This window comes from Homo sapiens, chromosome 2 (assembly GCF_000001405.40).
Source record: "Homo sapiens chromosome 2, GRCh38.p14 Primary Assembly".
NCBI classification, from domain to species: Eukaryota; Metazoa; Chordata; class Mammalia; order Primates; family Hominidae; genus Homo; species Homo sapiens.
In genome coordinates, this window is record NC_000002.12 from 66,417,560 (window position 1) to 66,444,683 (window position 27,124).

The following is a 27,124-nucleotide window of genomic DNA, read 5'->3' on the forward strand; positions in this document are numbered from 1 at the left end:
TTATACAGCTGCTACTAGAATGGCTAATGGCATGGCATAAAGATGCATCCTCAGAGAGATTTAGGTCCTTCTGCCCTTCCCTTAACAAGAGTACATTCTTCCTCATTGCAATCTCCCATCAAAGTCAATGTTGCAAATATTCTATTCGTTGTGATGGGACTTCAGCTCATGGTTAGGAAACATGAGGAAAGCTAAGTACAAAGTAATTTACAAAGTAATAACAATGTTTCCTACCCAGGCGATAGCTCAGAGGGGATTTAATTGGATAAAATTACCCCTTTCCAAGAATAATACTTTATACTTTATGTCATAATTATCACTGGAGGATCTTGAAGAGATTTATGAACATTGATTAAACATCAGCACACCATTTTGAGGGAGGCAATAGTAATAGTATTTTACTGAGCCCAGAGAAGGATGGTTTCCTATTCCAAAGCACACAGCTAACAGTCAAAAAATAGCCCAATCTGCACTGACTTGATGTTAGGACTGTTGTTAAGTAAGATTATGGAGCTTTGGGAGCATCTCACTTCCATAACATATTATAACTAAAGAGGCAAAAAAAAAAAAAAAGTTTTATGTTTCCCAGTGTATCTTATAATAGCCGCAAATAAATGCATTTCTGATCATCAGAGTTGGAAAATACGTGAATCGCTTTTCTTGATCTCCTAAGATTTTAGTTGGAAAAGTTCTTTTTATAATTAGTTTGCCCATGTTCAGCTGTTAAACATTTGGTATCAGAATCAAATATGAAATTCACAAATCACTGGAACTAGGAGGAATATCAAAAACAGGGTCGGCCAGGCGCGGTGGCTCATGCCTGTAATCCCAGCATTTGGAAGGCCGAGAAGGGCGGATCACCTAAGGCCGGGAATTCGAGACCAGCCTGGCCAACATGGTGAAACCTCGTCTCTACTAAAAATACACAAAAAATTAGTCGGGCGTGGTTTGAGGGTTCCTGCAATCCCAGCTACACAGGAGGCTGAGGCAAGAGAATCGCACGAACCGGAGGGGGGCGGGGGAGCGGAGGCCGCAGTGAGCCGAGATCGCTCCATTGCACTACAGCCTGGGCAACAAGGGCGAAACTCCGTCTCAGAAAAAAAAAAAAAAAAATACGGTCAAGTCTTTTTGATTTCCAGATGAGGAATCTAGTGCCCAAGTGGGAGTGAAGGATAAAAAGGGGTCTCAGTGTAAATAATAAAGAGGCTCTACCATTGTTGAAATGCCTCTGGTTACAAAGAATGCCCCCACATGGCTTTTAAGGCCCTGACTGCTTACTTTGCTGGGCAATTGAATAGGTGTAAATAATTCTTGAGTTGAATAGGTGTAAATAATTCTGTGGCCTAGCATAAAAGTGAAACTAATGGCAGGAGGGCACGTTTTCAGTTCAGTGCAATCCAACATAAAAAAAGATATCAAATTCTAAAGTTCTAATTTCATTGTTATAGCAACCTCAATAGACTTGGATGCTACCAAAATGAAATAATGTGTATCAAAACTTCTATTCCAGTGCCTGGCATAGAAGAAGCTCTCAATCAGCATCTCCTCTTTTGCTTCATCTAGCCCTCCCCACCTCCTCTAGCCTTCCCAGAGCCTGAGATCTAAAATTGCTTGATCCACATATCTATATATGCCTTAAATACTGCAGAGCAGATTTTGTTTGTATTTGCAGAAGCTTCAACTACTCTATCAGATGTTTCTTTAAAAGCTTATAAATTATTCTCTAAGCTTTCTTTAAAAACAAATAAACATTAAAATGAATATGCTTGCATTAAAGTTCATAATCAATAAAGTATGATCAGGAGTGGAGTTACAGAAAGTTGTATATCTACAAATTAGTCAGACTAGTAGCTGTCACGTGAGTCTGTGTTTGGGACAAAAGCCTCAAAACCTCTCAAAGAAGTTGTAGACCCTCAATTCTACAAGTGCTCCTCCTGGCCAAACCTCCTGCTTTGGGAAGGTGAGCAAGACTCGCTATCTTTACACAGAAAGTGAATTCCGATTTCTCTTTGCTCAACAAGCCCAGAGGAAATCAAAACATAGAAATTGAACATTTGTTGTTGTTGTTGTTAAGCTTCCTTCTACACAATTCAGTTGACAAATTAGCCACACAAAGATAGGTTCTGATGACCCAGTGACCTTTCCTTTATTCCACTATGTTTAAAATACCTTTTCCATAATTTCAGGAATTCTTTAAAGTAATAAAAATATGATGACGATGATGATAACGACGAAGAACGGGCAATGTGGCTATATCTGCTAAATTGCCTTTTAAACATAGAAACTATGACAAGGCTAATCATTTTTGCTATTCTCTTTTAGAAGACACAAAATATCTAATATTTAAATCTTGATCCTTTCACCTTGCCTCCTCCCCCGCCCCCGCCCACCACATGACGGGTTATTCAACCCACAATCAAATGATTTCACTATATTGCAGGAGAAAATATTTTGGAAGTAAAACTATGTCTTTAATATTTCCAAGGAAAATAATTCATATCTGATAAAAGCAATACTTTTAGATATGTCACATGCAAAATGTACCATATAATTAGAAGTGAATTTAGACAGAAAGATAGAAAGATGAAATATAAAAGCGCATAATTAGTGCACTGTTATAATTAGCAAATAGTTCTCAATCCCATGGTAACTGCACTTTGAAAAGGACTCCTGCCGGTTAACTAATATTTCCTGAAAGCAGTTTTCTTCTCTCTTTTTAAATACAAAGTTTGAATCACTGTCTTCTTGAAAACCATGTTATAAAATGTCATAAATTGATTTGTGTCTATATTATAGTTTTTAAAATGCAAAAAGACATATCAACTATAAGGACAAAACAAACATGTTTGTAGAATAAAAGAACTATAATCAATCTATACAATGGCTTTGTGTCATATGTATAATTTTGAGTGTGCTCTTTGAAAAATGAACATTATTTGCACCACAAAAATGCCCTTGAAATACAGAGAAGCAAACATTTCACATTGAATATGGATAATCAGTTCAAAGTACCTGGACAATGACAACAGTGAAACTTTCTCGGGATATAAGTGGAAGTTTCTGGAGAAGTTTAAATATTTTTAATCTTATAGTAGATCTTAAGGAAAGAAAGAGAAAAGAACTAAAAAAATTAAGCAAAAATAAGTATTTTCTCATTTTTTTTCTCATAACCCTCCAAATGTTTACTTAATACAATGATACAGTTACAGAGAGATTTTTTCCAAATTGAAAACAGGACTCAGGAGGCTGAGTTCCGGTACACAGTCTTTGATTCTAAACAATTGTGTGGCCCTCATCTGTGAAATAGGGCTGATGGTATGTTCTTACAGGGTTTGGAGGAGTAAACTAAGATAGTAGACCTGAAGAGGGGAAGGGGGATGTTTTGCAAACTGTGATGTTTTGTTAAAGACAAAAATTGAATTCTCAATCATATCCCTGAGTATCAAAGACTTGTTTAGAACAGAAAATTAACTTTGCCTGAATAATAATATTCTGAGTGAAACAGTGTAAAACCAAAAAGTTGGCAAAGTTACCAATTATAGGAAACAGGACCCAAAAGTTAGTCAAACCCTTTCAGTCAAATTGAGATTGGCTAGGGCAGCAGTGACATGTGGTGACATTAGTGAGAAGGGCAACCTGACAGCAGAACAGAGAGAAAAGACTAATTTATGAAATTTGCAACAGACTGGCCTTTTTAATCACGATCCGAAAAATGTCAGTGACAATGAAAGAGGCATGTAAACTCTGAAACAGTCTTTAAAGCTCACGTCTTCTTGAAAGTTTCCAAGAAGACAGAAGTAGGATGGTGGGAATGGCTTTGGTGTCTAGGTTAACTGGAGAGTACAAAGTACGTAATGACCCCGAGCAGCTTCCTTCAGTCTATGACAATGGTTAAGAATTTTTTTGAGGAAGTGTTCTTCAAGAGGGAATCTGTCGCACAACTGAATGGTCCCCTAAGCACAAAGAGAAGAACAAACTTGGCTCATAGATTTGTGATTATTGTTCACATCAGCTCCTGGCTCATATATGGCTTTATAGATGTCTTTAAGACCACTTGCTGCTCCCTGGAATGATTCTAATATAGGAGGTACATTAGAGAGAGTGCCGTAAGAATAGCCTATATTAAAAAGAACTAGGTATGTAGCTTTTAAAGTGTGCCCATTTAGAATTATTGGAGTGGAAAGATTTTGATAAACTGAAACTTAAAAAGTGATAGGCCAAAAAAAATGCTGACTAATACCAGCAATAGGAGTATACATTTTTAGAAAGTGTTTTTAATCAACTCCCCAGTATGGGGTTAATCAACTGTGTCAGCAGAACTAAATTACAGACTCATAGGAAAGGAAAGAGAAAATAAAAAGAAGACAATTTTGGAGCAATTCAAACTAATTCCTTCCTGGAGTAAAAAGCTAAAAGCACTGAGGAAGGCTTATTGGTTGAACTCCTGAACAAATAAGCCCTAAGCACCTAACGGGTTAAGAATATCCAAAAATATATAGTACTTTTTGGTCTAAATTAGGCTAGAATTTTTAAAGGATGCTAGCCAACTGTCAAAGAAATGCAAAAGTGCAAAATTAAAGAGCGTTAAATACTCAAGGAGAAAAAAGGTAGCTACCAGATACAGAATCATAAGTCAGGAAAGCGGCTGTGGGCACTTGGTTCTTACCAGGTCAGGAGAGCAGTTGGTCTCATTGAGCCAACAATTGCCAGTAGTGTGATATTGCTGAAATTTTAAATATGACTGAGTTTGACCTTCAAAGCAGTAGCTGGTTCCAGAGCATTTGAAGTTCATCCACACTCTACATTGTGCTTGGATATTGACTGAGAATCAGGATAAAGTGACAGTTATTAAAAGAGCCATAACTCTCTATTTTCAACTTTGTGAATTTCAAGTTCTTAAGCATCCTGGTCATGCTAAGCAATGCCTTAGCATGCTTAGGCAGTAGGGAAAGTGCCTCCAAAAGTTAGACAACTTTTGTTGTCTGGCCAGTGGAGACGGGACTAAGTGTTTTAACTTCTAAAACACCAACAAATATCCAGACAAAATTTAATGGTACCAAAAAAAATCCTGTGCTTTTGACATCTTTCTGTTTACTTTAGTTCTTTCAGGTATATCTTTCAACGAAAATCTAAGTTGTCATTTTCAGACTTAAAGATCCATATGTGGAGTTTACAGTGCCTGAAGGTATTAAGGAATTCTTCTGACAATTTCCCTGTCGGGAGGATCTCAAAGAAGCGGGGAATTGAGAGTGAATGAATTTTTTTTTTAAGTCCAAAGTAAAGTTTTTATGTTTTTATTCCCTGGAATATAAAACACAGATTTCAATGTTTTGAAGGTTTTTATGAGAAATTATTGCCATTTTTTAATTGAATCTGGTATATTTTTCAAAAATTGCCTGTTATAATAAATTCAGGCCTTAGAAATATCTAAAACTGTAGCAATTACATTTCAAAATGCTGTCGTGTAAAATAGAGACTTCATAGAATTTACTGATAGCAACAAGTATGGCAGTTACAGAAGTTTTACGAGACACAATTCCACTTTAAATGACAATGCTGAATTGCAAAACTAATTTCTTCCTAAAATTAGGGTTCATTGTTTCCTATTCATTAGTGTTCATTTCTTGATATCCTGAATAGTTCTGCTCTCCGTGGTCTTTGCGTGATAGTTGTTGAAAGGACTTAGTCATGCTGATATATAAAGTTAAAACTGTTCAGAACACAGCATATGCTTCCCAAAGTGGGATAAAGACGACTTAAGAGCATATACACAAGCAAACCATTTGAAATATTTTAGTGTATTTATTGTAGTCTGCATTAGGAAAATATACAAAAGAAATCGTAACTACAATAAAATGTCTCATTTGAAAACACATTACTATGTTTTATTTTAGATGAGACTGTTTTTTAGAAAATAGTAATTCAGGGGGCATTAGAACAAGACAAAAACAAGTAAACAGAAAGATGTCAAAAGCACAAGATTATTTTTTGTTACCATTATATTTTGTCTGGACAACTTAATCCTTTTCCTACTGGCCACTGTGTGTAATTGGTTGTAGTTGAGTCAGGGAAACATTGCTTTTGGATAACTCTCCAACCAAATTCCAAAACATCAACCTCCTTCAAATTTACTCTAAAATAAGTATGATGTGTTAACAGTAAAATTTTTTGCTTGTTATGAAGCTATGCGTTTTCTGCCCAATTTTGTAATACAAAATCATTAAATATCAGAATCAAAAGTGTATTTAGAGATCAAAATACTGTAAGCAATTCATTTTGCAGGTGATTAAGTTCTTCTCACTCAATCAGCCCATCAGTGACTAAGCTAAAATTTGAACCCAAGTATCCTAATTCTCTCTGCCTCTCTTTCTCACTGCCACTATTGGGAAATCTTGACTGGGAACATTTGGATGTGCAAACAGTGTTTTCTAATAGAACCAATTTCCAAACTCATTCTTCAGTTTTAGCCTGTAATGACCAAATACATGCAAATTAAATAGCTTTCAAAAGTCTGGGTTCCTCAAAAGATTTTTTACTGAAAGACATGTGAATCAATAAGCACCTTTAAAATGCAACAGGCTTATCATAAAAGCTAGGCTAGGACATAGACTATAACCAAAGTTTAAGCCTCGAAGAATATTATTAGGTTATTTTTTGTTAATATTCCATGAGTTTTAAAACAACAGTAAACTTCACAGAGTTTTTTAAAAACAAAATAAACTGCAGATTACCAGTCTGCAAACAAGTATTCTATACCAAACTCTCAAATCAAGACAAAATTCAAGGTAACAAAAAAAATTAGAATAAAGCTAAAAATAATTAGGGCATGGTGAGAAGAGGATAAGTAACTAATTTGTTTTAGGAGCAAAATTATTTGAAGCTAAAAATAAAAATATTTCAGGAAGTGCCAACTCAATTCATTTTGCCCGGAAAAGATACCGGATATTCTTGCAAAGAGTATGGTAGCCTGGGTTGCAAAGGGGTTCGGGGAAGCAGGAGTAAAATGCTGTTTTTGTGAACCTGATACCTAAACATCCCAGTGGGGTATTGTGCCTGTTTAGACTCCAAGAAGCTGCTTTTCACATCCTTAAAAGACAGGCTGCCCAAGAGAGACAGGGTTAGAGGGGATGCTGTTTTTAATCCTGGAGTAAATAAGGCCTTCAATGTCCTACCCCTGCCCTAAGTGACCTGAGCCAGTTCTCTGCTTAGGGTCACTTAGTCACAGGAAGTTGATGCAAAAGGCCTGTGGTGGTTGTTGTTTGCCTTGTTTTGTTTTGTTTTGTTTTGCTTTATTTTGGAGAAGTAGCTGGTTGGAGATGAGCAAGGCCTAGAAGATTCCAGCACTTTCACCACCAAATACAGGTTCTCCCTGCTGTTTCATTTCTTCAAGCTCCCTACCTGGAGGGGTCTTCTGCATAGCGGTACAACCTCCTGCCTTGTGTTTCCCTGAAGGGGCTCGGTGATGGAGTCAGGGATGGAGCAGGGAAGGAGGAAGGATGGCGCCAACGCCCAGCCCCCCCACACTTGCACACTCACACACTGCCATCACACACCCATCTGCTTCTGACAGAAGACAAGCTCTGACTTTTGGTCTTCTTAGGAAATAAGAAGAGTAAAAAATGTTTCTTCCGTAGTTGTGATGTTTTTCGTAGTTCAGGGTGTGTGTGTGTGTGTATGTATGTGTGTGTGTGTGTGTGTGTATAAAACCATCTTGAGGCATACAGAAAAGAAAAGGAGAGAAGAAATTGGATACTTCACTTAACCTATCTGGGTCTCAGCTTGCTTATCTGTGCAATGGAAAAGTAGAACTAAATGCCTTGATTTAACACCCTTATCTACGGTGGGGAAGGAGCTGTGAAAAGTGGTCCCTAGGCAGAGTAATCACAGCCCCCTACCCAGTGGATGATGACTCCCACTGCCTAGAGCAGGACAGTCATTTACGGGATCACCTAAGGGACATTTTGAAAGAGGATGTGTTTGCCTCTGGCCTCAATTGTCACCGGAACGCGCGCGCGCGCGCGCGCACACACACACACACACACACACATTTTCCCCACAGGGATTGTTTGCCTATGTGAACAAGTGGAAGCAGAAATCGCTCTTCCGAATTATTTAGGAAAGCCAACACGCAATTATGCAAAAGTCTAGATAAGGTTCTCCGAAGCAGAAAGCAGCAGCGCGGGACGCGGGTTTCCCCTTCTCTGGCGAGTACCAGTGCTGGGAGGCTGTTTATCTGTGTCCTGGTGCTGGGACAGGACGCAATCCAATTCCAGCTCTCGGTCGGTTCTGCCGCTCTGTCCCCGGTTCTGCAGCGCACTCTCTTACTCCCTCTCTCAGTAGTGTCCCCGGCTGTCTCCTTTCCTCCGTCTCCCGGTCCTCTCCCAGCGTCACCCCTCACTACCTATACCCCCGCGCCCTACCCCCACCTGGGGCGCTGGGTTCCACGCCTCCTCAAGAGGTGTGAGCGCCCGCGCTGGGCGCCCGTAGCGCGGCCCTCCTGTGTCCCCACTTCCACCCGGCGGCCGCTGGAAGCCGGGAGAAGGAACGGCACCAATCCCCTCACGCTTCTCCCAGGACGTCTGATCCCATTAGCGCACCTGAAATCACAACCTTGGCCACAAATGCGCGCTTGTTGCGACCCCTCCGAGTGGGCCGCCGTGCCGCAGGAGCCACTCTGGGGCCGGGGTCCCCAACCTCTCCCCCCTGCAAGTCCTAAAAGGAATCGTAGAGCAATTGATCTCGGAGGAGATGAGCGCACCCCGGGGCTCATTGCTGCCCCTGAGGAAGAGCCGTCCAGGAACGGAGGCGAGAAGCTTCCAGAATTAGGCCAAGAGGCAGGTGGCGGGGTGATCCGGCGTCCCCGAGTCCAGCTGGGGAGAAAGGCGCCCTCGGATGCTCAGCCCCAAAGCAGCAGAAGACAGAAGCCGGTGCGCCATCGTCGCTGCGCCCCAGTCCGCGGGTCCTCGCGCTCCTGCTCCGGCTCCCGGGCTGCCACCCACCGCTGCCCAAGCCTGACCAACTCCCAACTCCCTCCGGCACAGGCTGAGGCGACCCCCAAAGAGAAAAATAGGATCGCAGTCAAAACTGGCGGGGATGGGGCACACTGGTGGGAGAGGGGACCTTTTCACCTTTTGCTCTTCCCAGGGGACACAGTCCCCCAAACCTACGTCCCTGCGCCAAACCAGGTGCGAGCAAACTCCGCGGACCCCGCAGCTGGAAGTGCATCCTGCCGGGACCCCCACCCGACCCAGGGAGTCAGCGCGCCCCAGGGTGCAGGCAGGCCCAGGGCTCTGGGTGGCTCAGGGCACGGGGACCGGATCGCGCTGCAGAACACCGCCGGGACCCGGCACCCGGACGCGCAAGGGCGACAGGGCAGCCCTGCTGTAAGGACTGTGCCATGAGAGGTTCTCATTCGGTAAACAGTGGCCCTCCCAGAAGTGGCCGCCGACCTGCCAGTCAATGAAGTTATCCTCCGGGAGCTGGGAAGAAGGGGCGCCTCGCGGGGCTGTGGGCTCGGTTGCGAACCGATGTGTTTGTGGCTTATAAGTTTATTTCTCCCACTAGTTACCAGTGTTCAAATTGGCCCTTTCTCGCATAAATCGCCTGGAAAAAAAAAAATGATGTTTAGCTAGCATAGCCATATTCTGACGTTAATTTTTTTAAAAGGACAAAGAAAGATGATATTTGTTTTTCATTTTTAAATAAGGGCACAGAAAAGCACGTTTTCAGATATTCACAAGTGAATAACTACTCAGCAGGCGTCCTTCAGCTTCCTCTTGTTCTTTGCTCCTTTATGTTTTTGACGCTGCTAGAATTCTTTCTGCGCCGCAGGAAGCCTTCGATGTTTTCCTTATTCATTAGATAGCTCAATGAAATGTTAAAATATTTATTTTTGAATAATCAGTAAGATTTTTGCCTGAAGGTTTTCACAAAATATGCCCCTTTATCCAGTCGAACATGGATGCTAAGCATGGCCAGTGTGACTCATCCTGTTGCTTCAAAGGTAAATGTTTGCTATTAGTGACTAGAGCACGTTCGCCAGACCTCTTCCAGCACTCAGTACTTCAACTATTAGTTTAGAATATATCAAACGTGTATGCACTTGTGATTAGTTCCTGGAAGAATTTTCTACATTTTCAAGCTATTGTTATGAGGATTTTTTTTTCTTTTTGGTTGGTTTTCTGATCTAGACCAAACAGCATCTCAAAAAATGACTCCAAACAGCATCTCATAAAATAATAACCTTTCACAGTTCAGTGGTTTATACTAAAGTTTAAAAGACACCCACCACCAACACCTCCATTTATATAGAACAACTGAGGCTCTAATACAGCAGTGCAAGCAATCTCGCTGCTTTAAGTAGCCAATGTCAGTTCAGATTCTCTTGATGTATCTATATTTAATCCAATATTTTAAAGTCATTCTGACATAGTGCCACATCGAAATGTATATTGAAGTAGATCATTGAAATATATTTATGCACAATAAAATGTCCTAAAGCTGTCTCCTTTTCACTATTAGGTTTTTATTAAAAGACGCCCTAATACCTAGTCAAGTGCTGGCAAGTTTTATTAAAATGCGATAAGGAGTTTTAACTTCAGAAAAGCACATGAACAATTTTAAAAGTGCTTGCACCAAAGTCTATGTCTCTTGGACAAAATCAGCTTGACTTCTCCATGTATGTGTATGTGTGTGTGTGTGTGTCTATACACACATAGATACATATACAGATATATATTTGGGGGGCATTGGGCTTATTTGTTTCTTAAATCACAAAATCACTTCTCTATGGTAACAGTGATTACTTCAGAAACTGTCACTGTCGAACAGAGGTCAAAGTTAGCTTCATGCTTTTTTTTTTTTTTTTTTACAAAGCTTCCACAATGCTAGAGATCTATAAATGTTTTCTTTTTTAAATCACAACCAAAATGTGCACAATGTTTCTTAATGTTTAAGAGAACATCAAATGGTCTCTGCCATATGAAGTTGTCTGACTGTGAATTTCACCCACACTTTCTAACACTTGTGCTCTCCAAGTGAAAACACTGAAGTTTTACATTTTCATCCCAAATTGCCAAAAGGGAACTGCACTAAAACTTTTATAATTACCAGTGTCATTTCCCCTCTCCTAAAGGGTTTTTTTTCTTGATTACCAATGTCACTTTCCAAATTCCAAGAACTGATTTGTACATGCTAGATTATCGAGGCAGTAGATAGATTTAACTTGACTGTCAAGCAAATTCATCCTCAGTGTCAAGCAACCACTACTGTTTTTTGTTTTTTGTTTTTGTTTTTGTTTTCAGAGTTGTTGAATCTGTCCTATCTTCCTTTCTTTTCCCAGGCTGTCTTCCCAAGTTTAGGCATATGGGTACACACACATGCACAGCTGTATTCAATGTAGGTTTTAGCCTTGTGCCTTAATCAAGTGTTTGAGCTATACACCTATGATTGATATCATATCCTATCTTTGGATTTGAAAAACATGGTTAGACCCCAAGACCTGTCCTATGAGTCTAAGTTGGGTACTGTGGTTTTCTCTTGTTAGTTACCAGCACCAAATCATACCCCCAACCACCACCTCCCACCCCCGTAAAACAAGATTAAAGTTTGTCATCAAGGCTGCAGTTTTTCTATTGTCCAGTAGACGGCACAAAAGATCAAGCCTTCAAATGCTAAACAATTCACCAAGGCTGCTGTGGTTTGAAGTGTATGTGTGTGATCTTCTTTAAAATAGCTAACCAGCCAGCATTGTATCTGTGAAGCAGTGAAGTACCTGAAAACTTAAGATAACTCACTAAAAGTTTTGAAACGTAATGATATAAAAAGGTTTTGCATATGTCAACAAAATGTTGCTTCAGAAAATACACTTTTAAATAACTTCAGAGAAAAATGTTATTTAGAAATTTATCATTTAAAAGTTATCTTTATAGAAATTAAAGTGAGAGAAATTACAGGGCATTTTATTTTTAATTAAAAATAAAGAAAGTATTTGCACCGTGAGACTTGAAGATTCTATAGCGGAACTTTGCATGATGCATCTATGTTTTTTACTACATTTAACATACAACTCAGTCCACAAAATTGAAGGTTGTATTTCAAATGCACTTACACATAAATGCATATATAATAGGTACTTGGGAAGGGGAATAAATTCTCTTGATGAAGTTTTGTGGGATAGCTTTTGGGGGATATTGGAGAATGAGGCCAGTAGAAACAACAGTTGGGACTTTGCCTCTTTCAGAGCAATGCATGACTTTGGCTAATATTTATATTTTACTAAAAGGCTTCTATTTCCTTTTCATTCTGCAGACACTCCTTATGTAGCAGTTTGGGGGGGAGGGTAAAGTGTGGGCTAATAACTCATTTCCCAGTTAATTTTATTAAGAATTTATAGCACTGTTTAGAAAGTTTTAAGACAACCATAAATTTTATTAGGAATACTTTATTAAGCCCTCCATTTAATTAATAAAAGACCTCTATAACTTCTGAAAATGTCAGAGCTAGTAATTATGTTAACCAGTGTAGTTTTTTCCCCCCTAGAGACCAAAGCATTTTAATGATTTGAAATAGAATAGTAAGGAAAGCACCTCCCTCTCACCCCCCATTTTTTTTCCCTAATTTTTGCATCATCCAGTCAGAATATAGTAACTTAGGTATTTTCCCTGCAACCCTTGGAGAGCCTAAGCTGACCTCTAATTGACTTCTGAACTGGACCCAGACATTCTTTGTTTTCTGAAGCAAAATGCAGTAAACAAATCTTTCAGTCCTTATAGCCTGTAATGCTTTAGAGCACTTGATTAACATCCTCCCTAATCCTCTCAGTTAACCCCCTTTGATATCACCTAACCAGGTTTCCCCCTTTAATAGATCTCTCAATAGTTTATTTCACTTTTCTCACAGCCATTCATTAGCTTTGACTTCTTGGTGCCTTTCTCATATCACCTCCAGGCTCTTATCTCCAGCATTCCTCTATTATCTGTACTAGATTTCGAATCTATTTTCTTTAAACTATCTTTCCCTCCCTCCTCTTATTTCTGTTTTTTTGAAATGTCAATGCTAGTGAGGGGGAGAGATGCAGAGGATGAATGTTTTTGAAATACAAACGCCAAGCCTCCACACCACAGGACAACCTAAAAACCAATCACAGCATTTTAAGGGACATCTTAAAGTTTGGTGGCAAATGATAAACCCTTATCATTTTGTGAACACAGCTGCCAAACTCGATTGATTAACAGGCTTTTGTTTATTCTGGGCTGGCAAATACACACACGTTTTACCTTAAGAGGTGCCTCTTTAGTTTCTAAGGGTTTTGGAGCTGACTCATCAGTGTGACCTTTTGGGACAAAAGCCTAATTTAGGATATAGATCTTTCCAGAAGCACAATTCCTTATAGAACATAAAGTCAGGGGAGTTCTCCGAGACGACTTTACCAGCAGCTCAGAGGAGCACTGAGGGCTTGAAATGCCTCCATACAGGAGGGTGTAAACAATAGAGACCAAGGGCCCAGTCTGCCTCCTTTTGTCACCGTTCTCTATCTCTGGAAAGATGCTCTGAGATAAGAAGGATGAGAAGAGAACGGAAGGCCTGAATCGCAAGAGCTAGGGCCAAGTGCCAGAAGTTTTCACCAGGCCAAGTTTTTGCAAAATAAAAGTGCTATTGCCTTAAAAAAGCAAGTATCTGAAATAAGTTAGGAATAGGGGCTGTCAAAAAATGGGCATAAATATTGACAGTAGTTTACTAAGATACCTAGACCTGTCCCTTCATTTGTTTCCTTTTAATAGATGATTAATTGCTGCCCTGCTAAAGGAGTTTTTTTTTTTTTTATGGCTACTATATTGCAACTCTAGACATCCTCTGTGCAATTTCTCTCAGCAAGCCCCAACTGTAATAACTGTTTGCTAATTGTAAAATCCTTATCCAGAATGAGGTTTGGGCAAACAATTTGTACTACTGTAATTACATTGTAAAAGTGTTTAGTCCCTTGATTGTTCAGAATTAATTGTATAAAGGCCTAGAAGTTATATTAGGTTCACAGTTTAAAATGGAAAGACTGTGGGGGGGGGGAGGGGCACTTTTCAAAACTACTGAGTTGATTTTAAGTCCGCAAACTCAAACTATCTCATTCTTTAAGGAAAATTTGTGTGTAGGTAATTTAAAGTACATTTTTAAGGTAATCTGGCACATCATGGTTAAAGCATGCAGTCGTCTAGTCTTCCTCCTGCTTTGAAGATTTTGGTTATGTTTGCAAAGGGTGACTTACCTGAACCTTCTTTTCTCATCTGTGCTAGAAAACAAAAGAAAAAGATTACCGGAAAGCAACAATACAAAATAAATCCTGTTGTCAAATATATATATATATATATATACTGACCTTTTCCAAATTTGAAAACGTGGCCGCAGAGTTGTGGTAAATCCAAGCCCCGTTACCTCTTTGCCGAAGAACCCCTGAGGCTGTTAAAGACCACAGTCCTCTAAGCGTATTTCGCAATAAATTTCTCTCAGTTAAATTATACTTACACAATTTCCCTCGCAGTTCATTTAAGGATCATAAACGTAGGTGTGCCCTGTCGGTGTTTGGTTTGACCCCCACCTCCCACCCACGCATCTCCCTCCTACCCCCGAGTCGCGCAGATGCCTGGCGGGCCTGATGCGGGGACGATGATCACACCCCCGCGAGCAGCCATCGGAAGGCGCTCAGGTATACCCCGAAGTCGGCTGGGGTTCCGGGAAGGGGTCGCAGACTGCCGGCCCAGCTTAGTCCTTTCCCTAATCGGAAAAGGAGCGTGCTGCCTGGCCCAGCCAGCGCAGCCTCCCAAGGATTAAACAGAAATCGCCTTCCTGAGACGGGGAGGTTCCATCTTGGCCTGAAATTCTGCTTCCAAGTTCATGTTGTGGGGCCGGGGAGCGACGGTGAGGCGTGGGGTGGGGGGGTGGGGGGATGGGGGGAGGCCGGGAAGTGTAGGCAGAGGCATAAAGGCGCTGGTAATGCACCTGGCTGCCCACCCACTCCGTCCCCAGCTTTTACTCGCGGGCCTGTCTTAACCTCCCAAGTGATGTTTCAGGGCGTTTGTACCAGAAAACCTACACATGTATGTGATGGAAAAAAACTAAAAGATCCTGAAACTTAAGCGTCAGAAAAAAGACAGGGAGAAACAGAGAGAAAAAGGAGAGAGGAAGCAAATGATAAGGGATCCTGGAGATGGTTTAAACACACACACACACACACACACACACACACACACACACACACACACACACACACGAGGGAGAGCTCTTTCAAGGCAAAGCGCTTCTGAAGGTTTTGGGAGAACGTGTGTCAGCCCTTCAGGCACACAGGGTGCCAGTACGGAGTTGGGGGCGGGGAAGGGTGCAGTGCAGGCGGCTGGGAAGGCTCATCTGCTCGGCTTTATGGAAACGCTCCACTGTTGGGGGCAACCAACCCCGCGTTGACTCCTGCGAAGTGCTAAAGGAAGCGATAGATGTCGCCTAAGGAGACTACGGACGCTCGGTGGAACCTCATTCCAGACCTATGTTCTCATGCTCGCCCTGTGTCTCCTGCTCCTCGGAAGCCCACTCTATAGAATCTTCAGTCCTACCTCGCAGACGGACGCAAATTATCTTTTACTTTGCGCTTAAGAGTTGGCTTCAATACATTTTAGAGCTCCTAACCTTTCCCAAACAATCTTCGGATGAAGGGATACCCCCAATCTTGCTCAAAACTCTTTCCCTACCTACACCCCCTTGAGGGTGAGGGTTCAGTCCGCAGCTGGCGAGTGGGACGTGGGTGGGGGCGATGGAGGCGCGGGCGGGCTGCTTGGAGGGAGTCAGCCTTTTGGCCACCTTCAGGGCGGGAATAGGGACTGGCAGTTCGCATTCCCCGCAGATCGAAGCTCCCTGCTGATCGATTATTTGATAATTGATTTTCCCCGCAGCCAATGCGCGGCGGCCTGGGCGGGGGCGCCTCCTGATTGGCCGAGCACTCCTCCACGGCTGCCTACCGAGATTTGGGTGAGCTCATTTTCCAGTCGACCGCAGGGGGAGTTTTCTGCGAGGTTTCAGCTGGAGGGAGGGGGAAAAATCCTCTCGGAGCCGAGCGAGCTGCGAGCCCTGCTTGTGGATGTGAGGTTTCCAGCCACTGGTAGAGCTGCTGCGGCTGAGCCATCTCGGCAGATCAGAGCCCAGCGGACAGAAATATAAATACGAAAATAACGCCACTAAATATAATCACAAGGGAGAAGCTTAGAGCGGGAGAATAAAGAGAAGGGGTGAGGGGGAATTAAAGCCCAGGCAATAGGTGTTAAAGTTAAAAACAAAACAAAACAAAAAACAGTGGTTGGTTGGAGCCTCCGAGTTGTAGGTACAGGCAGCTTTTGTCTGAAATCTCAGCTTCCGAAGCGGATTTCTTTTTCTCTGGCACTGGGAGGTTTCGCCGAGCCGGGTTGGGGACGGGAAAGAGGAGCGCGGGGAAGGATGTCTGGGGTGGTGAGGGCAGGGCTTCGCTGGAGAAAGAGCTAGTGGGGCGCGAGGTTCTTACAGGCCCGGGAGAGGTCGAGGCTGGAGCCCCTCGGCGCCTCTAAGACAAAGGCAGCGGTGGCTGCAGCCGGAGCCTAGCACTCCGGCAGCGTCGCGCCGCGCCGCGCCGCGCCCTGGGCGCACGGCCGCCTCACCCCGAGCGGGTCGGAGAAAGAGCCTCCCTCCCAGCGGCTCCCCGGCCCCGGCTCCGCCCGCGAGGTCTGGGCTGCTGCGAGCCCGCGCCGGGTTTCGCTTTCCGACGATCATAAATAGCTTGGTGTTTGTAAACAGGCGCTGGGGGCACATTCCCCGCGCTCAGCTCATTGTTCCCTCCCTTCCTCTCTACTTCGCGCAGGACGCCTGGGCTGGGGCTGGGAGCCGCCGGGGCTAGGAGGTGGGGGAGTCCAGACCCGAAGTGACAAAATGCTAGCATTTTCTTTCCCCCGGCCGGGCGTCCACCTCTAACAGCAAAGAAACCTCTAAGCTGGGTCTGCAGAAAGCCCGAGCCACCTCAACCCCATGTTCTCAGGACTCCTTAGCAGAGGCTTTCCCAACCTGGCTTCTCCCTCCTTTTCCTCCACGATCCCGCTTTGACTTTTCTCCTTGCAGTGTTTAGTTCTGAGAATTCAGTACTTTGCGCATCACCCCCTGCCCCGAAAAACACTGGCAGACCCCAATAATTTCGAGGAAAGTCATGAAGTCTATGCGCGGAGCCCTGTGCAAAATAACTCCCGCTGCTGCCTGCCCGGCGTTGATTCCCAATTTATTTCAAGAGAGTCGGCTTTGGGGAGAGAGTCTGCAGGGGGAGGGAGAGAAAAGAATACTGAAAATAAAGCTGGCGGCCGCGGGCTACTGCCTGCGTTTGTGTGCGTGTGCCCTGGGTGTGTGGTGTTTGTGCCTGGGCGTGCGATTTAATGGAGCGCCTCTCTGCCTCTCCAGTGCGGCCAGAGCTCGCTTCGCGCACCCACCCCTGCCGAGGAGCCTACTTGCTGCAGCCCAATGCATTGTGTAAGACGCGACCTGTTATGGCCACCACTACTTCCGGGTTCTAGCATTCTGGTCGGAATCCACCTCTCCGCCTGTGCAACACACACTTTACACACGCACGGGGACTGCAAGCGGGCAGCATCGATCGTGGCTCCTTTAAGACAAACTCAGACAGACATTTTTTTTAACCCTCCTTCTCTAATCTCCTTCCAGTGCAGCACTTGCAAAGAGGGAGAGAGAGGGAGAGAAAGAAAGAGAGAGAGAGAAGAGAGAAACTGATTAGGAATTAGGACTGATTCAAGGGAAGCGAGCGCTAGGGCTTTGTGCATTTGAATATTAACATTTGAGGTGTTCTGACCAGAAGAAGACAGAGCGGATGATCATTCATTCACCACGTTGACAACCTCGCCTGTGATTGACAGCTGGAGTGGCAGAAAGCCATGAGATTTGGTAGTTGGGTCTGAGGGGCGCTCTTTTTTTTCCTTTTCTTTCTTTCTTTCTTTTTTTTTTTTTAAACTGATTTTTGGGGGAGAGAAGATCTGCTTTTTTTTGCCCCCGCTGCTGTCTTGGAAACGGAGCGCTTTTATGCTCAGTGACTCGGGCGCTTTGCTTCAGGTCCCGTAGACCGAAGATCTGGGACCAGTAGCTCACGTTGCTGGAGACGTTAAGGGATTTTTCGTCGTGCTTTTTTTTTTTTTTTTTTTTTTTTCCGGGGGAGTTTGAATATTTGTTTCTTTTCACACTGGCCTTAAAGAGGATATATTAGAAGTTGAAGTAGGAAGGGAGCCAGAGAGGCCGATGGCGCAAAGGGTACGTATTAAAAAACAATTGTGGAACTCAAATGTGAGATTAAATTGAAACGTGGCCGAAAGACACTGCTAAAAAGTTTCCTTTTTTTCTCTCTCTCTTTTAAAAAATGAGGCTCCTAAAGCCGTGGCCTAAGCGAGAGGATTTATTCAATGCATTTGTAGACTTATGTATGTTACTTGGAGTTGTTAATTAAAGGAATCTATTTATCTATAGATTCCTAACCAGCAGCTATATAAATAAAAATGCAAGCTCAAACAATCATCTGGGTTTTTTTTTAAAAAAGCTAGATACCTAAAGCTGTAATTTGAACATTCAGAGATCAGAAGTTTAAAGTTATGTTTAAACTAAAATATGCAGCTGGAAACTTCTGATATGTTATTGATTATGCTCATCTTTAATATCACTAGAAGTATTCAGCTTTTTAAAGGAAATAACTTTGTCATAGTATAGCCAATTTTTTGGTCAGAAAACATTCATCTTTTTATAGTAATTTCAATTTGTATAGACTTGTATACAAGGCAATATTTTGCAAGTTTCTCTTAGATAAGCCCTCTACTAATTGAATACTAAGCACACAGTTACTCACTTTAAAAATGCAATACTAATTTCCCCATATTCCTTTTTCAATGGAAATGCAGTGAGAGTAAAGTGAGACAATGACAACCCAACTGAGGTAGTTTCTTAAAAGAAAGGGGGTCTACAAAAAGCCTTCCTTGCATAATTTGTGTCCTGGCCCTCAAAGCCCTGTTTGCAAAAGAAAGTTACTAGGCTGACACAGTTTTCTTTACTCCTTTGGTTCAGGCAAATGTCAGCGTTCTTCCAAACTCTTTTCACACCTCTGGCTTTAAGGAGATGAAAGTGGCAATTCCTCCTTTCTTTGAAAATCATTTCACTCTCAGCGCCTCCAAATCTTGGGAAAATAACTGCCTGGAATGAACCAATTAGAAAAACCTAAATAGCTAAATTTCACACACACAAAATAATGACAATCAATATGAAAGTAGTTTTTTTTTTTTTTTTCTGGAAGAGGAAGATGGAAAGTTGTGCATTTGCTTTTGAATTTGCTTTAAACCTGGTGAGTAACATTTGCCTCCTTGACTTCTAGTCTGGAAACAAAGTTCATAAGAGTAAATAAGAAAATAGAATATTAGCTGCTTCAACTATAGATTTTCTTTAACTTTGGGGGTGGGGAATTGCCCAATTCTAAATTCAGCTCTGATGTTCAGGAAAAGCTACCCTCCTTTGAGTTTCACTTATAAGGGGTCAGTTAGTTTTGTATAATTTAGCAGAGTTTGTCTTGGAAAGCAAAAGAAATGCAGTGTCTTGTAGGACTGCCTAACCTCACGCTGGCAGGGAAATAAAATGAGAAGCCTGTCTAAATTCACGTGCTTTGCGTAGCTGTTCCCATCGTAACTTTTTTTTTTTTTTTTAATTCCCCCTGATGTGAAGGGGCTGTGAAACTAGGCGGGTTTGCTGCAGTGTCCTGGCACGTTTTATTATTGTGATTTTGAATTTCTTCCTCCAGAGACATGCCCGTTTCACCTTCTACCCTCGGGAGAATGCTTCTCTTTCTCTCTTTCTTTCTTCTTTCCTTCTTGCCAAAGGAGCCTGAATTTCTAAACTAGTTGATAGGGACACAAGTTAGGGCAAGATCATTCATCCCAGACGAGTCTCGCTGAGAATTCTGTATTTTTTACTTAAAGCTTTAATTTTAAAATAAGAAAAACTCAGCTTTATAGATGCAAGGCCACCGAATTCCGGGTGGAAGGACCCAGCTGTATTGACCTTATATAAGCTCGGTGCCTTGCCGTTCTCCCATTTGCCCGCCTGGCCTCCTGAACCTTCTTTCTCTCCTGTTTGTCATGCAGTACGACGATCTACCCCATTACGGGGGCATGGATGGAGTAGGCATCCCCTCCACGATGTATGGGGACCCGCATGCAGCCAGGTCCATGCAGCCGGTCCACCACCTGAACCACGGGCCTCCTCTGCACTCGCATCAGTACCCGCACACAGCTCATACCAACGCCATGGCCCCCAGCATGGGCTCCTCTGTCAATGACGCTTTAAAGAGAGATAAAGATGCCATTTATGGGTAGGTACAATGGGCAGCAGGTTAAGTAGTTGAGACTCAACGCTTCCCTCTTTCTCTGTGCCCTTGGTAAGAGGAAAGTCAGAGTTCTCTGGATTGGAGGTACATCTTTGGTGACTTTTCATTCACATTTCATGGATAATTTGGGGAGGTGGCCTGCCATCCCTGAAGCCCTACATCCCCATACACACTCTGTGCACATCCAGTGCCCTGCTCCACCATGGCAGTGCCCGCAAGGGGGTCCCAGATGAGAAGAAGCTGGCTAAAGGGCCCTTGTCCCCTCTCAGACTCCTTCAGCGGGCTGGAGTCCTCCCTCGCTCGATTTCGCCCGAGAGCGTTAGGGGTTTCTAAATGCAGGCGCCTTTGTGTTGTAACGAAACTTTTAGTTTAAGGGAAAATCTCTTTTAAGCCACTGATTGTTCTGACTTGCTGAGTTTACTCAGCAGCCTTATGCTGGCTCTGCCACTGCACAATAAAACCAAAGCAGGACAGTTGCAGGTCAAGCAAGGGGGAACATGTTTTGCATTTAGGGAGTTTGACCACTGAAGTCAAGGAGAGGAGCTTGCTCTGAATTGTTACACACATTAAGAAACTTCTAGATGTTTTAGCACTTTGTGCTCAAAGGCGAAACCTGCAGGATTTAGAAATAAGTAAATTCGGGGTGCTCTTCCTCGGAGGTTGTTTTCTGGCTGCGGTTTATACTGCTTTCTCCTCCGCCATTCGATTAGACCCTGGGCTAGTAGAATCCTTTGAAACTCACTTGTGCCTACTGTGTGCCGATGAATTTGGGAACCTCTTTTTACTTTGCAGAAACTTTTATTTCTATTTATTTATTTTTAAAAAATCAGGACACACTGACCCTCCCTCGCTGGAAAAAAAAATATATATAATCTTTTTATTTTATTTTCTGATCCCTTGTGCGATGGGCTTGTTTAATTCCCACCGTTCTGTCCGCAGAGTTAACTACAAGTGGTTTAGGCTCTGGGACAGAACATTTGGGGAAGCTTTGTAAAGGACCCCAAACTGTTAAATTCCCAGCTGAGCTGTGAGAGCTAATAAAAGACTTGAGATACCTCCTTGGGCATTAGAAGAAGCTTTTCTTTCTTTCTTCTTCTTCTTCTTTTTTTTTTTTTTTTCTTTTTTATGGGCTGAGACAAGCGACATCTAGGCCCCTCGCAATACTAGCTGCTTTGCCACTTCGCAGAGACAAAATGAAAGGCTCTACTGCAGGAACATTTGAAGGAACTTTCTTTGGGGGGCGGTGGGGGCTATCAGCGAAGGGAGGGGAATGTGCGTGGAGCTGAGGAGGAGCCTCCCGGCTCTCCGAGGGCCTTGGGGTTGGGATCCCTAGGTGCAGCCCGTTGACAGTCGGCCCCACGGCCATGGACGTCCTTTCCCCAAGTTAGCTGAGCGCCTGCCACCGAGATCCCCCGAGCCTGGGCTTCGCGCGGCCGCCTAGGAGGAACCCGCAGGAACCAGCCCTCCCCAACTCTCCGCCCGGCGCCTTTCTCCTCCACCGGATCCTGGATGTGCAGTGGAGGGGACGAGGGCTTGTCGGGTGGGAAACTTAATTCAAAATGGCTGCTGGAAACGCTTGGGTTTTATTCGTAGCAAATGTTGCCAATTTCTCCGGCCAGATACGCTAAACCGATCCTCAGATACCGTCCATGGCTCAGGGCCTCCGACTTCAGGGCTCCAGGAGGAAGGGGAGGTGAGCGGTCACCTGGGTCTGGGGGAGGGGGAGGAAAAGGAAAAAAGTAGATGACACAATCGGAGAGGGGGTCTGTTCCTCTTGCTCCTCCAGCTGTTTTTCTTGGGCACCTTTTTCCATTGACTGGGGACTAACCATTATGTTGTTTGTGACTGTTGTATTTTCTTGCAGACACCCCCTCTTCCCTCTCTTAGCACTGATTTTTGAGAAATGTGAATTAGCTACTTGTACCCCCCGCGAGCCGGGGGTGGCGGGCGGGGACGTCTGCTCGTCAGAGTCATTCAATGAAGATATAGCCGTGTTCGCCAAACAGGTCAGCAAAATAGATGTTAAAAAGTAAAAGAAACAAAAAGAGAGCCCCCCCTTCGCCAACACACACGCGCGCGCGCGCGCGCGAACACACACACACACACACACACACGGCACACTTTCAAAAGTAGCCAGCACGTAGTCGGCCTTAAGCCATGCATGTTACCTCCAACCTCAGATTTTCTCTCTGTCTGAGTGTCTGTTTGCAGATAACTTAAAATCACCCATCTGCATCCCCACTCACCCTCCAGAAAGCAAACGTGGAGAGCTCACTCTGCAGAATAAAATCAAGAACACCACGGTTGTAGCTGCTGTGGACTCGGCGGTCTGAGCAGCCTCCCCGAGAGCCGTAGTTGCTAGTAGAAGTAAGATTGAGCTCTGGGCTTGTTTTCAGCTTATTTAATTCACACTGAAATGTTTCTGCGCGGGACGAACTCGGTGTCACCGGGTCCCTCCCGGAGGGTTACTTCCTGCCCCCGACAGTGTAATGAGGCAAGAAACTAGGAAGGCGACCAGATTTCAAATTTTTCTTTCTTTTTTCTCTCCCCTCCCTCTCCCCTCTCCTTCTCACTTGTATTTAGATTCGCGCAGAAAAACCTCTATTTTCTTCTAATCCAGAACTGGATAACTTGGTAAGAGCGGACCCCTATTTCCCTCCCCCGCCCCCGACCCCCTACCTCCCACCTCCAACGCCCTCAGCTTTGCTTTGAGAGCCCTGAGATTTCTAGACCGGTCTTCCCGTGCCTGCAGGTTGGCTGCAAATGTTTCTGTACACGGACAACTGGTCCGGGACAAGATCCCGGGGAAATAAATTCATCTCGAGAGGGGCCGGGCGAGCCAGCGCGGGGAAACGCGAGCTTTTGTTTTTTATGACAGCCGGGCTGCGCAGCTCTAATCAGCGCGGGGATTTATCTCCCGGCCTGTCAGCATGTGTGCTTAAACTTTGCGGACTTCCTAGCCCTCTAAGTCCCATCACGAGGGCAGCCACCGGACAAGAGCCCCCAAACAACCAGTTTGCCTGAAAGGTGTAAGGAAGGCAGCAGAAACTTTGCAATGGGAAAAGCCACAGTTTGAGGGCCATTTGGAATATTTTTCTGTCCACTCCTTCCAAGGACACATGTAGTCCAGTGTTGTGGCCCTTTTGGGGTGGGGTGGGGCCAGTGGGACTGAGAAAGGGGAGAGCCATGGGGGAGGAGAGTGTTTATGATCCTCACTTAGATGCTGTGTTGTTGTTTTAGCTAGTTTTTTTTTTCTTAAGAAATATAAACCTCTAGATGGTACCCAGTTGCTGCTATTAAGTTTTAGTGTTATTGCCATAAATCAAAATAACTCTATTTACTGGTGGGAGGGGGTGGGCTGGAGATGGTAGAGCTGTGGCAGCCAGTTTTCTGCAAGCCAGGAATGGGGTGCTTATTGTTTTTGTATCTTTGCAGATGATTCAAGCCATACAAGTATTAAGGTTTCATCTATTGGAATTAGAGAAGGTAATTTCTCTAGCCTCTTTTCCTTTTACTTACCCCTTACCCCCAAACACACAGGGGGGAGGGTTCCGAATGGCTGAAGTTCAGCCTTCTGATACATTTGCATAAATGTCTTTCTTTCTGGTAATTAGTGTCAAGGCCAATCTTAGCGTCCATTTCTCTTCGCAGTTTAATTACAATTTCAGCCACTAAAACTGGGATCACAAACGCCCTAGCCTTGTGTTCATTCTTAATAACTTGCTGGCTTTGTGTAAATAGTTGCAATTCTGTGCATCCCAGCTGATGTTTCGAATGCTGCTCTGAGGTTGTTTCACAAGTTCATACCTCTGTTGTCTCTTCTCATCCTCTTCCTTCTCTTCTTTGCTACCTCTGAGGGAGAAAAAAGTTTTATTCAGTTGTAGTGAGTTTCTGGAAGACAGTCTTGAGAGCAAGGGCAGATCAGACACAGGGGAGAGGCAGAAGGGGAGAAGGAGGAGGAGCGGGAAGGAGTCTGGAGGAGGTGGTGGGGAGGCACATTAAACGTTTTGCAGAGACAAAGCAGAGTTGATAGTTGTGTCAATTTCTTGAATCTGTGAATCCTGCACACACTCCACCTTCACACTCAAGAAAGGGTGTGGGATAACATGATTTTGCTAGCTGTTCTATAAATCTCAGCAATAAAAACTTAATGCATTGTAATTCAAACTAACATTAAATTGCAAGCACACTGGGGTTTCTTGTGAATTTTTGCATGTCAGTGATGCCTGGGACCTCTAGGAAACCTCTGCACTTACACTTAAATATTTTGAGGCATTCCTTCTCCTTTTTGTAAAAAAAAAAAAAAAAAAAAAAAATCAATTTGATATGTTTTTGTGTGGCTGTATGTTTTCCCATATCAGGAGTACTGGCAACTTGATTTCCTTCCATTTTTTTTTCAAAGAAAGTTTTCTAAAATATACCCCTTAGAGATAAAAACCTTCATTACAAATATAATAAGGACTTGGGTTGTCAGGCATTTATCCTATGCCACCACAGTACAGGTTCTTTGGAGAATATATATGTGCATATATACACACGTATACATTTTTTTCTTAGACACATTAGAAAGGGATTTATGATAAAGTCACTGGATGAAATTAAATAGTTTACCTTAAATGTCACCTACGCAGGTCACCTCTCTAATGACCACAGCCCCAGGAGCAGATGAATTTAACACGGGTGTTGAATATGTTGTAGCCTGTGAATCATCTTGTCACTGTCAATTTTCTGGGATATCTCTATTTTGCAAGAAAAGAAAGTTATTCCTAATTCTGGATGCGTCTGGGGGTCTCTGGAGGACAATTGCCCTGTGTTTCCCCTATTTGGAAGTTTGGATCTCACAAGGGGGGTGGATTGCACTTGTCAATGTCATTTATGCACTCCTGATTATATTCCCATTTTTTTATTTCTGTCATAATGTAGGTACACGAATTATGTGACAATTTCTGCCACCGGTATATTAGCTGTTTGAAAGGGAAAATGCCTATCGATTTGGTGATAGACGATAGAGAAGGAGGATCAAAATCAGACAGTGAAGATATAACAAGATCAGCAAATCTAACTGACCAGGTATGCGCTTTTCAATTTCAACATCCCTGGGAAAAAAAAAAATCTGTATGCATATTGCTTGCTGGGTCACTACCACCTCCTTTTATTATTTGCATATGATTAAGTCCCTTTTAGATACATTTCCATCGAAATGAAAATTTTTGAATAATGTGGCTATTATTGCTTCATTAAGGCTGGCTCTGGGATTCGACCTGAAGAGATGAGCTTGTAAAAGCTTTGCTAGCAAACTTGACCTGTTTCTTGTCGCTTTTAATTTTTGTCTTTATTTTATTTACCCTCTATAATAATGGGAGTGTTAACTGCCAGTGACCGCCTCTGATTGTAGGGGCTTTGTTCCGGAGCATTTTTCCCCCTTCTATCTTCAAGAAAAGACAAGTGTAGGGTCTGCTTATTTCTTATTTTATTAGGAATAAATCCAAGATAGGTGGTCTAAGAAAGACAGCGAGAGTTTGAAATCTAGCAAATGCTGGCTATTTTCTCCCTGTCTGTACGGTTCATTAGCCTGTCTTGTCAGTTTTCCTCGGCCGAACGCTTCTAGACCTCACTGAACATTGCTTTGTGTGGTGTTCACTGCAAGCTCACCCATTTTATTGTACTTAATAGAAAAAATAAGACCAGGCCGAGGTTATAAAAACAGATAAATATGGACTTTTCTCCTCCTTCTTTCCACTCATCCTCCAGCTGGTATGTGCTCTGGGCCCTCTGGGTTGGCAGCTTGTGGACATATCAGCATCAGGGGCACCCCGGCGGCTCCCTGGGTAAGGAGTGTGGGGGACCTCGCACCGCCTTTGCTCTCAACTGAGGGCCTTGGCTTGCTGCACCCTCTCCTCTCCTGTCTTCCCTCCAGGCCCTTCTTCCGATGCGTTACTAAGTGGGGACGACTTTTATTTGGAATTGCTGTGGGGATTTCTCTCTCTCTGTCACCCCAACACCACCGTTTGCTCCCAGGGTGCCTCTCTCTCTCCTGTGGCTGTATCTCTGGATTGGTCCAAAGGAGTTGCAAAAATGCAATGAAAGTGAAAACGTGTAGAGTGAGTGAGATGAAACAGGGCTCAGAACAGTTCCGTTGCGAATTGTTGCAAGGCGTCTAGAGATTTGGGTAGCTGGCCTGCTCTGCACCCTCCCACCCTTCCCCCCTATATAAGTGAAGTCCCAGTGTTGTTTCTCTTTCTGACTCGGCACGTGAGTCCAGATTTGGGGGAAGAGATCAGCCTGCCTTTGTTAAGCCAAAGGCCAGCTACTCTGCAAGCTCTGCCATGATCTCTGTTGGCCAGTGGCTGTCTTGTACAGTCCTTGTCGAGCGCCTGACGCCTGGTTCTTAGTGTCATCTTATGGTTTTCTTCTCTCAACATCATCCTCTTAAAATACATTCTCAGCTTGATTTTCTCTGGGCAATCCCCGCGACATGGGCTGAATTCCTCTTTTGCCCATGGGGAGCGAGAAACAGGCAGAGCAGAGATTTAAAAGTGCCAATGCGCCGGGTCCGCACTGTGATCTGGAGAGTTGGAAACTTTCGGCAGTGTAGTCCATTGCACAGAACACGCAGCGTGCGCAATCCCAGTGCGGCCCCACAGAAGTGGGAAAACTGCAGGCGGCTCCCAGCCTTGGCCCCCGCGGGCGGCCCGGGCCTCACGT

At 43.6% G+C, this 27,124-nt stretch overlaps 1 protein-coding gene and 2 long non-coding RNA genes across 3 annotated transcripts in view, besides 16 other annotated features; 1 reads left to right on the forward strand and 2 right to left on the reverse strand.

The window, feature by feature from the left end:
• Nucleotides 1-5,782: 5,782 nt before the first annotated feature.
• MEIS1-AS3 (MEIS1 antisense RNA 3) lies at nucleotides 5,783-15,911 on the reverse strand. Its single transcript, NR_046438.2, has 4 exons — nucleotides 15,732-15,911; nucleotides 14,372-14,451; nucleotides 14,261-14,279; nucleotides 5,783-9,603 (listed from the first exon to the last, which is right to left on the reverse strand). It is a non-coding gene; the product is annotated as an MEIS1 antisense RNA 3 (long non-coding RNA).
• Nucleotides 15,740-16,092: an enhancer, noted in NCBI's record as "-2kb E1 enhancer". NCBI's record gives its function as "enhancer in U937 cells" and the evidence as "EXISTENCE:reporter gene assay evidence [ECO:0000049][PMID:24097337]".
• Nucleotides 15,740-18,295: a biological region, named in NCBI's record as "MEIS1 5' regulatory region". NCBI's record gives its function as "regulatory_interactions: HHC2:067347 | LOC111258520 | MEIS1".
• Nucleotides 15,788-16,188: a DNaseI hypersensitive site, noted in NCBI's record as "-2kb DH site; the nucleotide coordinates are approximate for this feature". NCBI's record gives the evidence for it as "EXISTENCE:in vivo cleavage assay evidence [ECO:0001075][PMID:20600580, PMID:24097337]".
• Nucleotides 16,618-16,717: a silencer, noted in NCBI's record as "silent region_11585". NCBI's record gives its function as "represses an Ori minimal core promoter by ATAC-STARR-seq in GM12878 lymphoblastoid cells {active_cell/tissue: GM12878}" and the evidence as "EXISTENCE:reporter gene assay evidence [ECO:0000049][PMID:35858748]".
• Nucleotides 16,962-17,838: an enhancer, noted in NCBI's record as "HHc2:066543". NCBI's record gives its function as "enhancer in forebrain, hindbrain, otic vesicle" and the evidence as "EXISTENCE:transgenic organism evidence [ECO:0001131][PMID:22448256]".
• Nucleotides 17,324-17,864: a promoter, noted in NCBI's record as "-500 promoter fragment". NCBI's record gives the evidence for it as "EXISTENCE:reporter gene assay evidence [ECO:0000049][PMID:20600580]".
• Nucleotides 17,426-17,525: an enhancer, noted in NCBI's record as "active region_15940". NCBI's record gives its function as "activates an Ori minimal core promoter by ATAC-STARR-seq in GM12878 lymphoblastoid cells {active_cell/tissue: GM12878}" and the evidence as "EXISTENCE:reporter gene assay evidence [ECO:0000049][PMID:35858748]".
• Nucleotides 17,495-18,295: a DNaseI hypersensitive site, noted in NCBI's record as "promoter DH site; the nucleotide coordinates are approximate for this feature". NCBI's record gives the evidence for it as "EXISTENCE:in vivo cleavage assay evidence [ECO:0001075][PMID:20600580, PMID:24097337]".
• Nucleotides 17,535-17,564: a protein binding site, noted in NCBI's record as "ETS site". NCBI's record gives its function as "positive regulation of promoter activity" and the evidence as "EXISTENCE:protein binding evidence [ECO:0000024][PMID:20600580]".
• Nucleotides 17,535-17,564: a protein binding site, noted in NCBI's record as "ETS site". NCBI's record gives the evidence for it as "EXISTENCE:protein binding evidence [ECO:0000024][PMID:20600580]".
• Nucleotides 17,545-17,565: a protein binding site, noted in NCBI's record as "PU.1 site". NCBI's record gives the evidence for it as "EXISTENCE:protein binding evidence [ECO:0000024][PMID:26622774]".
• Nucleotides 17,566-27,124, forward strand: part of MEIS1 (Meis homeobox 1) — a 138,745-nt gene continuing 129,186 nt past the window's right edge. Inside the window, exons 1-6 of the mRNA NM_002398.3 lie at nucleotides 17,566-18,309; nucleotides 20,178-20,404; nucleotides 22,284-22,425; nucleotides 23,003-23,053; nucleotides 23,855-23,905; nucleotides 25,343-25,489. Coding sequence (NP_002389.1) covers nucleotides 18,298-18,309; nucleotides 20,178-20,404; nucleotides 22,284-22,425; nucleotides 23,003-23,053; nucleotides 23,855-23,905; nucleotides 25,343-25,489 — 630 coding nt within the window. The 5' untranslated portion in view covers nucleotides 17,566-18,297. The remainder of the gene's footprint in view (nucleotides 18,310-20,177; nucleotides 20,405-22,283; nucleotides 22,426-23,002; nucleotides 23,054-23,854; nucleotides 23,906-25,342; nucleotides 25,490-27,124) is intronic.
• MEIS1-AS2 (MEIS1 antisense RNA 2) lies at nucleotides 21,528-22,771 on the reverse strand. Its single transcript, NR_046625.1, has 2 exons — nucleotides 22,666-22,771; nucleotides 21,528-22,130 (listed from the first exon to the last, which is right to left on the reverse strand). It is a non-coding gene; the product is annotated as an MEIS1 antisense RNA 2 (long non-coding RNA).
• Nucleotides 21,882-23,081: an enhancer, noted in NCBI's record as "CDK7 strongly-dependent group 2 enhancer chr2:66666573-66667772 (GRCh37/hg19 assembly coordinates)". NCBI's record gives its function as "activates an origin of replication core promoter dependent on BRD2, BRD4, P300/CBP, MED14 and CDK7 cofactors, with strong dependence on CDK7, by STARR-seq in HCT116 cells {active_cell/tissue: HCT116}" and the evidence as "EXISTENCE:reporter gene assay evidence [ECO:0000049][PMID:35650434]".
• Nucleotides 24,881-26,523: an enhancer, noted in NCBI's record as "HHc2:066588 fragment used in reporter transgene". NCBI's record gives its function as "activates a minimal GATA promoter in forebrain, hindbrain, branchial arches and notochord of transgenic zebrafish {active_cell/tissue: branchial arch | forebrain | hindbrain | notochord}" and the evidence as "EXISTENCE:transgenic organism evidence [ECO:0001131][PMID:22448256]".
• Nucleotides 24,881-26,651: a biological region, named in NCBI's record as "HHc2:066588 enhancer in MEIS1".
• Nucleotides 26,098-26,392: a silencer, noted in NCBI's record as "tiled region #9717; K562 Repressive non-DNase unmatched - State 15:Elon". NCBI's record gives its function as "represses a minimal TATA promoter and a strong SV40 promoter by Sharpr-MPRA in K562 cells {active_cell/tissue: K562}" and the evidence as "EXISTENCE:reporter gene assay evidence [ECO:0000049][PMID:27701403]".
• Nucleotides 26,252-26,651: a DNaseI hypersensitive site, noted in NCBI's record as "MEIS1 HS +8.8 kb; the nucleotide coordinates are approximate for this feature". NCBI's record gives its function as "accessible chromatin region in KG-1 and U937 cells {active_cell/tissue: KG-1 | U937}" and the evidence as "EXISTENCE:in vivo cleavage assay evidence [ECO:0001075][PMID:24097337]".